The 12,383-nt window shown below is 35.7% G+C and overlaps 1 protein-coding gene across 4 annotated transcripts in view; it reads right to left on the minus strand.

Moving 5' to 3' along the window:
• Window positions 1–12,383, minus strand: part of ANTXR2 (ANTXR cell adhesion molecule 2) — a 172,327-nt gene that overhangs the window by 81,489 nt on the left and 78,455 nt on the right. For all 4 annotated transcript variants that reach the window (NM_001286780.2, NM_001286781.2, NM_058172.6 and 1 more), the window contains exons 13-14: window positions 2,185–2,229; window positions 1,244–1,336 (exon numbers count right to left, since the gene is read on the minus strand). In NM_001286780.2, coding sequence (NP_001273709.1) covers window positions 1,244–1,336; window positions 2,185–2,229 — 138 coding nt within the window. The remainder of the gene's footprint in view (window positions 1–1,243; window positions 1,337–2,184; window positions 2,230–12,383) is intronic.

Below are 12,383 nucleotides of genomic sequence, written 5' to 3' on the forward strand. Positions count from 1 at the left end.
TATTCTCAGTTTCTAGCACACAAAAATACATGCAATAACTTCTCCAAAGAACAGCTTAACTGCATCTAGCAACTGTTTATAATCATGGATAATTGGCAATGAGGTATCTGCCTCAGAGGATATTTCAACAATAAAGGGCAAGCTCTCAGGGAAAATGTCCATTGCTTCAAGATCTAATGTGGTCCAGAAAAGTAAGAATCACTGTCAGATGACCTATATAAACACTTTGCTAATGACAACCATGTTCAGTATGTCTGGGCTTTTTCTGAAGAAGAGTAAAATTTATTCTGAAAAGGGGAAACTCTCCTTGGGAATCTGAATTTTATTGTAATGTATAAAAGGAGAAAATTGCAATAATTGTGGGGTTGTTCATTAGGTTATCAATTTTTGCTGGCACAAAGCAGATATGACAATAGGAAACGTGCAACAATGGTAAAATGCATAAAACACATTCTAATCAGAAGGAAAATTATGACTAAAAAGGAAGGAATGCCAGAATTTAATAATAAAGTCAATGTGTTCATGAAAAAATCCCTTGAATTGCTCCTTGGGATGGGATGCAGGCCTGTTTATACTGTTGTTAAGAGCTCAGTGCTGGTAATAATTGCTTATTACTAAATAATATATCACTTTGAAAAAATAGTTCATGGTGATAATAAAATCTTATTTGACTTTTAAGATATAATATTAAAGTTCAATTTTAATCAACACTTTGGGCTAGTCTGAAAGTTCAATGCATTCTATAAATGATATATAATATCAATTACAATAGTTCATAAGTGGCAACTAACATAAAGTATTAAATGTGCTTCCTCTATATTTGTGATAAAGTCAGATCCACGCTATTGAATATTTTAACATTTTCTTCTCAAATAGTAGATAACTATTGGATCTTTACAAAGAAGAACATTGTTGCAACTTGAAGTGGCTGGCTTCTTCAAAGTTGACGTTCTATGCGGTAATTTTTTCCAAAATAAGAAAAACCCTAGCTTTGTTTTGTCCCTTAGAATTCAGAGGTCTTATCAATGCAATCCTTTGACTAATGAAACCAGTTCTTCTAGGCCAGTTTTGCAGCGGCTAGGATGATTCCATAGAAAAAAAAATGTATCCAGAAAAGACCCAGTGTTAAGCACAAATGGATGATATTATAATATTGAATTGTGAAAAGTAGTTTCTATGGCTTAATAGCCCTAGAAATACATACTCCAGATTAGCAGCTTCTATTTTTTTTTAAGATACCAACCTCCATTCTTTTAATTCCTCCAACCCCTCGACCACCATAATAGGAAGCATCCACAGTTGGCCACTTTTTAGTAGGCAAAGGTTCTTCTTCCTCCTGTGGAAATATGTTTTATAAATAGTTTTTAATTAATTTCTTAAAATACTGTTTAGTCGGAACTGGCTCATATTTAAATATTTTTCTGAATTATGTCATTACTATGGAAAAAACTATGTATAGAACATGTGGATATATTTACACTTACATGCATAAATTTCAAGTGGAGTTCTACAGGATATGAGAACTCCTTTCCCTCCTCAAATTTCAGGAATCTCTCTTACATCATCCCTAGGTAACTAGAAGTTGTTCTTTAACTATGGGAATCATTTGGTATTTCAAATCTATTCATCACTTCATACTTAGAAAGATAAAATATTAAATTAGGACAGCATTTTAACAGTCATTAAAGCATCAATGTGTGTGTAGGTTTGGACTCTATGAAATTTGAACTGAAAAGATAGGCAGTTGAGAAGCTTTGAAAATATACAACACCAGCACATTCCTTATTTCATGTTCCTAACATGATTCTGGTTAACAGAATCATATAAAAGCACCAAGAATTTTGAAGAAAGTAATAGGATCTTTCAACTGTCAGCTTGGATGTTTTTTGTCAATAACATAAGTGATATCAGAACTGTTGATATAGTACTATAAAAGTATATTAAATCTTTATGTACTATTGATTCCAATGGCCAGTTTATATCTAGTAATGTATGAAGTTCCCATTCCTCTAGCACATGAAATAAATCATAAGAGGATGAAAAATAACCACTGATTTGTATAAATTAAAAAGTCAGTACATAGGTATCATAGTTATCTAACAGACAAAATTGATTAAATTTGGGCATGGTATCTGCATTTGGAAAAAAAAAACAGCCATATCAGTTTTTTAGGCACTCACTTACCTCTTTTGGTGCAGGGGCGGGTGGTGGTGGAGGATCCTTAATAACCTGTCAAAAAAAATCAAATATAAAAATTTCTATGGCATAGAGAGGAGATAGTAAGGATGTGTAAAAATAATTTGATACATAAAATACTGTGGTAGCTCCAAAGAAGTCCCTCACTGAAGCTTGCCACCCAATATTTATGCCCCTCTCTTTGAATCTTGGATTGCCTGTAACTAGCTTTCGGCAAATAGAAAAAGGTTGAAGTGGGCCAGGTGCGGTCGCTCATGCCTGTAATCCCAGCACTTTGGGAAGCCGAGGGGGGCGGATCACGAGGTCAGCAGATCGAGACCATCCTGGCTAACACGGTGAAACCCCGTCTCTACTAAAAATACAAAAAAAATTAGCCGGGCGTGGTGGCGGGAGCCTGTAGTCCCAGCTACTTGCGAGGCTGAGGCAGGAGAATGGCGTGAACCCGGGAGGCAGAGCTTGCAGTGTGCCGAGATCGTGCCACCGGACTCCAGCCTGGGCGACAGAGAGAGACTCTGTCTCAAAAAAAAAAGAAAAAGAAAAAGAAAGAAAAAAAAGAAAAAGGTAGAAGTGGTACTATGTGACTTCTCAGGCTAGGTCAAAAGAACTTAATTTTCCCTGACATCCGTGGAACACTCACTGTTGAGGAACACTGCTGTCAGGTCAGAAATCCACCCCAAGACCATCAAGCTGTGAGGAAACCCAAACTAACCTAGGCTGGGTGGTGAGACAGAGACACCAGCTGATCCCCAGCTATTTCAGCCATTCGAGAGGAGATATGGGACATATAAGAGAAAAGTCCATCTTGGACACTCAGGCACACCAAGCTTCCAGATGACTCCGGCCAAACTGGCACCTGACTGTAACCACAATGAGACTCCAACTGAGAGTCTCCTAACTCAGCCCGTAAGGATACAAACTGTTGCTTGAAGCTGCTTGTAACAAATCAGCTTCTTAGCCAAGACCCCTTTCCTGTGATGCCTTACTCATGAAATCTTTCACAGTTAATTCTTTTTTTTTTTTTTTTTTTTGAGACGGAGTTTCACTCTTGTTTCCCAGGCTGGAGTGCAATGGCATGACCTCAGCTCACTGCAACCTCCACCTCCCGGGTTCAAGCGATTCTCCTATCTCAGCATCTGGAGTAGCTGGGATTACAGGCGCCCGCCACCACGCCTGGCTAATTTTTTTGTATTTTTGGTAAAGACGGGGTTTCACCATATTGGCCAGGCTGGTCTCAAATTCCTGATCTCGGGTGATCCACCCGCCTCGGCCCCCCAATACAGTTAATTCTTCACGTGAATAGAATGGGGCTTAATTTGAAATGACCTTTACTGGTATTGGGCTATCTGGATATTCACACCATCGTGATGGAAAATCTTTGACCAAGTGTCAATGGCTTCAGCTACTTCAGGTACAAATCAAAGTCTCTATACTAAGAGGGAAAACTGAAAATGTTCCAGCTTGATGTCATCTAATGTCAAATGTGTCAACTATGCTATTAAATTTTCAAAGGTTTAAAACAATAGCAACTTTGAAAATGTGGTTCCACTTTTACCTCATCAAAGAATTATTTTTAATGTGTAGTATATTACTATGATCATGGATATATATTTAAAGACTGTTTGTCTTTTAAAGGTATGTACAAATATTTCCAGGTGAAATGATATGATTTTGATATTTTCATCAAAATAATTTGGGCGTTGGGACTTGGATATGGGTACAGATAAAGAAAGATTGACAATAATGCTCCACCACTGCATACACACCAGTGGCTCCCCGCTGCCCTGTTGGTTTTCATTTGTCTGCACCTCACACCATCGCCCCACTAGTGTGCACTCTCTGGTGGCCCCCTACTTCAAGACATTCTCCTGTGGCACCCTGCCCCCACAACCAGAGCACTTTTGTCAACAGCCCCCATCAGAGTGTTTTGCCAGCAGTCTGGGAACACCCCAGTCCTTCCAGTGCAGAAAGTGTTTGACCTCGAGAGGTCAAAGAACAAAGCCATATGCCCAGTCCCAGTCCCCAAGGCATTAGCATGAAGCTCAGGAGTGCTAAGCTGAGGCTTGGCCTCCTGAAAGCATCCAGAAATGAAGTCAATCAACTAAACACAATTTATACTGCCTTCAAACCCTCAAGAACATCAAAGAATATAAAAGCAAATAGCTTCATCCAAAGGACAGCAATGTCAAAAAGTAAAGGAAAATCAGTGAACACAGATGAGAAAGAACCAGCACAAGAATTCTGGCAACTCTAAAAGCCAGAGTGTCTTCTTACCTCCACAAACTATCTCAATAACTCCCCCAGAAATGAAATGTCTGAAATGACAGACACAGAATCAGAATCTGGATGGCGGAGAAGCCCAGTGAGATACAGGAGAAGGTTGAAACCCAATCCAAGGAAACTAATAAAACGATAGAAGAGCTGGAAAATGACATTGCCATTTTAAGAAAAAAAAAAAAAAAATTGAACTTCCGGAAATTAAAAATTTGCTATAAGACTTTTATAATGCAATCGGAAGCATTAATTACAAAATAGATGAAGCTGAGAAAAGAATCTCAAAACTCAAAGACTGCTCCTTTGAATCAATGCAGGCAAAAAAAAATTAAGAATTTTTAAAAATGAAAAAACAAACCTCCAGGAAATATGGGATTATGTAAGAAGATCAAACCTATGACTCACTGGCATTTCTGAAAGAGATAGAGAACAAGCAACTTGGAAAACATATTTGAGGATATTGTCCACACAAATTTCCCCAACCTCACTACACAGGTAGGCATGCACATTCAGGAAATTCAGAGAATCTTTAAAATATACTAGAAAAGATAAGATATCTAGTCATCAGATTCTCCAAAGTCAACGCAAAGGAAAGAAATGTTAAAGGCAGCTACAGAGAAGGGCCAGGTTAAGTACAAAAGGAATCCCATCAGGCCAACAGTGAAACTTTCAGCAGAAACTTTACAAGTCAAAAGAGATTGGCGGCCTATATTCTGCAACTTTAAAGAAAAGAAACTTCAACCAAGAATTTCATATCCAACCAAACTAAGCTTCATAAGTGAAGGGGGAATAAAATCATTTTCAAACAAGCAAATGCTAAGGGAATCCATTACTATCAGTTATGTTTACAAGAGGTCCTAAAGGGAGCACTAAACATGGAAATGTAAGACCTGCCACCACAAAAACACACTTAAGTACATATCACATTGGTACTATAAAGCAACTATACAATCAAGTCTATATAACAACTAGCTAAGAACATGACAAGATCAAATCTTCACGTATCAATATTGACCTTGAAGATAAATGGGCTAAGTGTCCAACTTAAAAGGTACAGAGTGGCAAGTTGGATACAGAAGCAAAACCCAACTATACACTATATTCAAGAAATTCATCTCACATAAATTTTATATATATATATATATATATATATATATATATATATATATATATATATGTAGGCTGAAAGTAAAGGAATAGAGAACGATCACTCAAGCAAACAGAAAACAAAAAAATAAGAGGGGTTGCAATTCTTATTTCAGACAATACAGACTTTAAATCAGCAATGATCAAAAAAGACAAAGAGCATTGCATAATGATAAAAGTTTCCATTCAACAAGAAGACTTAACTCTCCTAAATACATACACTCCCAAATTGGAGATCCTAGATTCATAAAACAAGTTCTTAGAGACCTATGAAGAAGCTTAGATAACCACACAATAATAATGGGAGACTTCAACACTCCACTGACAGTATTGGACAGATCATTGAAGCAGAAAACTAACAAAGATATTTGAGACCTAACCTCAGCACTTAACCAAATGGACCTAACAGACATCAACAGAATACCCAACAACAACAGAATATACATTCTTCTCATCTGCATATGGCACATACTCTAAGATCGACCACATGCTTGGCCATGAAGCAATTCTCAACAAACTTAAAAACAACAAAATCATACCAATCACACTAGCAGAACACAGTACAATAGAAATAGAAATCAATACCAAGAAGAGCTCTCAAAACCATACAATTACATGGAAAGTAAACAAACTTGCTCCTAAATGACTTTCAGGCAAAGAGTGAAATTAAGGCAGAAATTTAAAAATTCTTTGAAACCAATGAAAACAAAGATTCAACATCACAGAATCTCTGGGACACGGCTAAAGCAGTTTTCAGAGAAAAGTTTATAGTGTTAAATGCCTACATCAAGAAGTTAGGAAGATCTCAAATTAACAAGCTAACATCACACCTAGAGGAACGAGGAAAACATGAGTAAACCAACCCCAAAGCTAGCAGAAGAAAAGAAAACCAAAATCAGAGCTGAACTGAAGGAAACTGAGATATGAAATCTGTACAAAAGATCAGCAAAATCAAAATTTGGTTCTTTCAAAAAATAAACAAGATTGATAAACCACTAACTAGATTAATAAATAAAAAAAAGAAGATCCAAATAAGCATAATCAGAAATGACAAAGGGGACATTAGAGATCCCAAAGAAATACAAGAACTCTAAAACACTATTAGGAATACCTTTATGCATACAAACTAAAAAATCTAGAAAAACATGGGTAAATTCCTAAAAACATACACTTCTGAAGATTGACCAACAAAGAAATATTTATCCTGAACAGATAAATAACAAGTTCTGAAACTTGATCAGTAATAAAAAAAATCCAGAAAATGCCGTAGATGAGACAGATTCATGGCTGAATTCTACCAGACATATAGAGAAGACCTGGTACCAATCCTACTGAAACTATTCCAAAAAGTTGAGGAGAAGGGACACCTCCATAACTCATTCTATAAGGCTAGCATCATTCTGATAACAAAAGCTGTCAGAGATACAATGAAAAAAGAAAACTTCAGGCCAATATGCCTGATGAACATAGACCCAAAAATCCTCAACAAAATACTAGCAATCCAAATCTAGCAGTGTATCAAAAAGTTAATCCACCATGATCCAGTAGACTTTATCCCTGGGATGCAAGGTTGGCTCAACATATGTAAATCAATAAATGTGATTCATTACATGAACAGAACTAAAAACAAAAACCACATGATCATCTCAATAGACTCAGAAAAAACTTTCAATAAAATTCCACATCCCTTCATGTTAAAACTCTCAACAAACTAGGCATCAAAAAAAATATCTCAAAATAGTAAGAACCATCTATGATAAACCCACAGCCAACATTATATTGAACAGGCAAAAGATGGAAGCATTTCTCTTAAGAAATAGAATAAGACAAGGATGCCCACTCTCACCACTTCTATTCAGTAAAGTCCTGGAAGTCCTAGCCAGAGAAATCAGATAACAGAAAGAAATAAAAGGCATCCAAATAGGAAAATAAGAAGTCAAAATTATCCTTCTTCACCAATAATAAGATTCTATATTTAGAAAACCCTAAATATTCTTTCAAAAAGTTCCTGGACCTGATAAACAACTTCATTAACCTTTCAGAATACAAACCAAATGTGCAAAAATAAGTAGCATATCTGTATACCAATAATGTCCAAGCTGAGAGCCAAATCAAGAATTCAATAACAACAGTTACAAAAAAAAAAAAAAAAAAACACCTTGTAATACAGCTAACCAGGGAGGCAAAAGCTCTGTGCAATGAGAATTACCAAACTCTGCTGAAAGTAATCAGAGATAACAAAAACAAATGAAAAAGCATTCTATGCTCATGAATAGGAAGAATCAATATTGTTAAAATAGCCATATTGCCCAAAGCAATTTACAGATTCAATGCTATTTCTATCAAAATATCAACATCATTTTTCATAGAATTAGAGAAAACTATTATAAAATTCATATGGAACCAGAAGAGAACCTGAATAGCCAAAGCTATCCTAAGCAAAAAGAAAAAAGCAGGAGGCATCACACTACCTGTCTTCAAACTATGCTACAAGGCTAGAGTACACCAAAGCAGCATGGTACTGCTGGAAAAGGTTAGATAACCCAGAAATAAAGCCACACACCTACGACCATCTGATCTTCAACAAAGTTGACAATAACAAGCAGTGGGGAAAGGACTCCCTATTCAGTAACTGATTCTGGTATAACTGGCTAGCTATATGTGGAAGACTGAAACTAAACCCCTTCTTTTCACCATATATAAAAACCAGCTCAAAATGAATTAAATTCTTAAATATAAAACCTAAAACTCTAAAAGAAAACCTGGGAAATACCATTTTGGACATAGGCTTTGGCAAAGATTTCATGATGAAGTTTCCAAAAGCAATGGCAGCAAAAGAAAAAATAAACAAGTAGGACCTAATTAAACTAAAGAGCTTCTGCACAGCGAAAGAAACTGTCAACAGAGTAAACAGATAATCTACAGAATGGGAGAAAATATTTGCAACCTATGCATCCAGTAAAGGTCTAATATCCAGAATCTGTAAGGAACTTAAATCAAAAGGCAAAAAACAAACAACCTCATTTAAAAAAATGGGCAAAGGACACGAACAGGCACTTCTCAAAAGAAGACATATACAAGGCCAACAAGCTTATAAAAAAATGCTCAATATTGCTAATCATTAGAGAAATGCAAATCAAAACCACAACAAGATACCATCTCACACCAGTCAGAATGGCTATTATTAAAAAGTAAAAAATAAATAACAGGAGTTAGCAAGGCTGTAGAGAAAGGAGAATGTTTATACACTGCTAGTGAGAATATAAATTAGTTCAGCCATTGTGGAAAGCAGTTTGAAGATTTCTCAGAGAACTTAAAGCAGAACTACATTTAATCCAGCAATCCCATTATTGGGTATATTCCCAAAGGAATATAAATCGTTCTACCAAAGACATACGCACTTGTATGTTCATCACAACACTATTCACAATAGCAAAGACATGGAATCAACCTGGATGCCCATCAATGATGGACTGGCTAGAAAAAAAAGTGATACAGATACACCAGTGAATACTAAACAGCTATTTAAAAAAAATGAAATCATGTCATTGGCAGCAACATGGATGCAGCTGGAGGCCATTATCCTCAGAGAATTAGCACAGAAACAGAAAACCAAGTACTACAGGTTCTTTTTTATAAGTGGAGTGGAAGCTGCACATTGAGTACAAATGGACAGAAAGATGAGAACAATAGACATCAGGGCCTACATGAAGTGAGAACCCGGTAGAAAGGTGAGGGTTGAAAAACTACCCATCAGGTACTATGCTCACTACCTGGGTGATGAAATCATTTGTACACCAAACACCAGCAACACATAATTTACCCCTGTAACAATCCTGTACATGTACCCCTGAACCTAAAATAAAAATTGAAAGAAAAAAATTGACAATAAGTTGAGAATCATTGAAGCTGAGTAATGAAGACAGTGGGAAGTTCATTATCTTAGTTTTTTTAATTTTTAATTTTTGTGGGTACATATATTAGTCTCTCTCTTTGTAAATGTTTCCATTTTCCATAGTGAAAGGGTTTTTATATTTTGATGTCATTGATAATGTTTAGAGAACTGACCCATAATTTTCTGTGTGTATAATGTTTTCATCATCTAAATTTTAGTTTAGATCCAAACCTCAGGGAAAAAATACACAGACAATAATGACAATAATATAGATATAAATAGTAATTAAATTTGAATCTCCTTTTGAATGCTACAAAGCCATTATTTCTACTTAATTCTTTATTTAATTCAATTTTATTTTTTTAATAATCATAAAATTCCAGTAGATTTTGGTAATCATGAAAGATAAAACTTTATGATTTTTTATAATTAGCCCAGAAATAAATGCCAGTAGAGAATTAAGATTTAAAATAATAATAAAACAAAATAAAGTTAAGTTCATCAAACTGCAGGTATATTTCCTCTATAAAAAAAGAAAGCATGTCATATGACTATGAACTTGCATGTCCAAAACAATTAATGAAAACCAAATCTGTTAGCATTTTATAACAAAATCAAAGCTACCCTAACCATCTTCATTTAAAAGCTAACATTCCTTCCTATCTTCCCTGTTTCTTTCAAGTGAATGACTTTTTTCAGTTGCAACCTAAAAAGTTGGCATAATCTGTAATCTCTTTTCTCACTTCAAATGACTTTACCAAATCATTTCCATGCCCAATACATTCTTTGAAATATCCCCCACCTTCCTCTCTCCCTGATGAATTCTCCCCATTTTCTCAAAGCATATGATTCTCTTGATATGCACAGATGCATTGTTCTCTCCTAGAATTTATCCAAGTTGATAATTTTATCTACCAAAAAAGGGTTTATTAATTTTATCTACAAAAAAATAGTAAGTTTCATGAGAACAGGTGTTATGTCTGCTTTGCTCCTCACTGACTTTCTAGTATTTAATAGAATGTCTAGCACAAATTAGACTTTCAAGGAAGTAAGGAAAAAGAGAAGTTAGGAAGAGGAAAAGGAAAGAAGTGAGAAGGGGAGAGAAAAGGAGGGAGGAAGGGATAAAGAAAGAGAGGGAAGAAGGAAGAAAGGGAAATTAGGAGGAAAAAAAGAAGGAAAAAAGGGAGAGAAGAGAGGAAGAAACAAATTGAGAGAATAAAGAAGGAGGAAGGGAAGGAAGGAGATAGACTGCAGAGGGAAGGACAAAGGAAGAAGGGATTCTTTTCATTCCCTCCCCCTGTCACTCCTAAAAGCATATTCTCAAGATTCTTTGGGCCTTAAATGTACCTAGTACAACATTTTTTCAACTCCTCCAACGCATACACAATCAAAACTTCAATACTCTGAAAAGTTCCCACCAAGCTGTAGTCTAATTATGTTTGAATTACTGCAATCAAGAGAAATCCACTACCTTACAAAGCAATTCAGTCCATTGGCAAGGAACCCACATCATTTGAAAGTTTTTCCCCCAAATGAAGCCAAGGCACTTCCCACTCTGTAGTTTCCAGTCTTTAGTCTTGATCCTAGAGTCTGGCAATACACCACACACACACACACGCACACACACACACACACACACACATGCACTTTTTCTTTCAGAGGAGAGCAGTTCCTATTTTTGAATGCTAGGATAATTGCCATATATCTACTGAGTCTACCAATCTGGAACCTAAATATATCAAACATTTCTCATGAGATGGTCCTGAGTTATCTGGTTATCTTGGTCAGTTTTTTTTTTAATCACATATTGATTTGGTCAATATTTCAGTGTGGTTTCTAGAACTGATAACATTTTAAGTATGGCTGAGCTATTATAAATAAATGAATGGTGCTCAGACAAAGGAGATGCATCTCCATCTTTTCTCACCACCTCATTCTAAGAATTTTAATTAATAATACATTCACAAAATTTATTGATAGTTATAATTACCATAGCCTTTTTTGCATCAATGACTTAATACTCTACTTGTTGTTAAATTAGACATCTAACTTATTTCTCTATCTCCAATTGATTCCCCATTTTAACCTATGTAGCCAGGTCAATATTCTTCTAACAGAAGCTTAAACGATCATTTCCCTGGTAAAAATGAATAAACAATCCCAATGTTCAAATTTGACTCAATAAAGTACTAAATTTTATTGGAAAGACCTTACGAATCATGCTTCCACTCTTAGTTTTGTGAATTTCCATAAAGTACTCTCTGGAGTTCTCTCACTAGAAAAAGGTCAAGGTACATCCTTCCATTCCACTAAGTCTGAGAATAATACATCTGAACTCATTTTCACTTCATCGTGAGGACTTCAAATTTACTCTTCTTATTACATGTACATCTTGCACTGTTATATAAATTTCTGAGGACATAAATAGTATCCCCAACCCTGTTCCTCCTGAGAATTACATCCTCCTGAGAATTATTCAACATCTCTCTCCATAACTCTTCCTTTTTTTTAATGTCATATTCATTATCCCATATAGCATCTAGTTTAATAGTGATATGGGAAAATTGAATTTCAATTTAAAATCCCCATATGACCACTGTTATCAAACTCACATAGTACCATGGGAGGCATCTTTACATTCCTTCTCTTCACCGGAGGTCCTTTATCTAATATAAACTGCAAGATAAACTATCAAAGCCCCTTTTGCAGCACATAAACATGAGCCAGTTTTTCTATTCTCATTGTTAAAATGCCTCAGCATGGTGTCAGTCCCTCCACGGTTAAGGCCTAACATGTATCTACAAACATCCCCCTACATGCACCTCCTCTCCAGCCAGCCTGATGATCCTGATGCTTCCCCCAAATACAATGATCA

Source organism: Homo sapiens, chromosome 4 (assembly GCF_000001405.40).
Source record: "Homo sapiens chromosome 4, GRCh38.p14 Primary Assembly".
In the NCBI taxonomy this organism is placed as follows: Eukaryota; Metazoa; Chordata; class Mammalia; order Primates; family Hominidae; genus Homo; species Homo sapiens.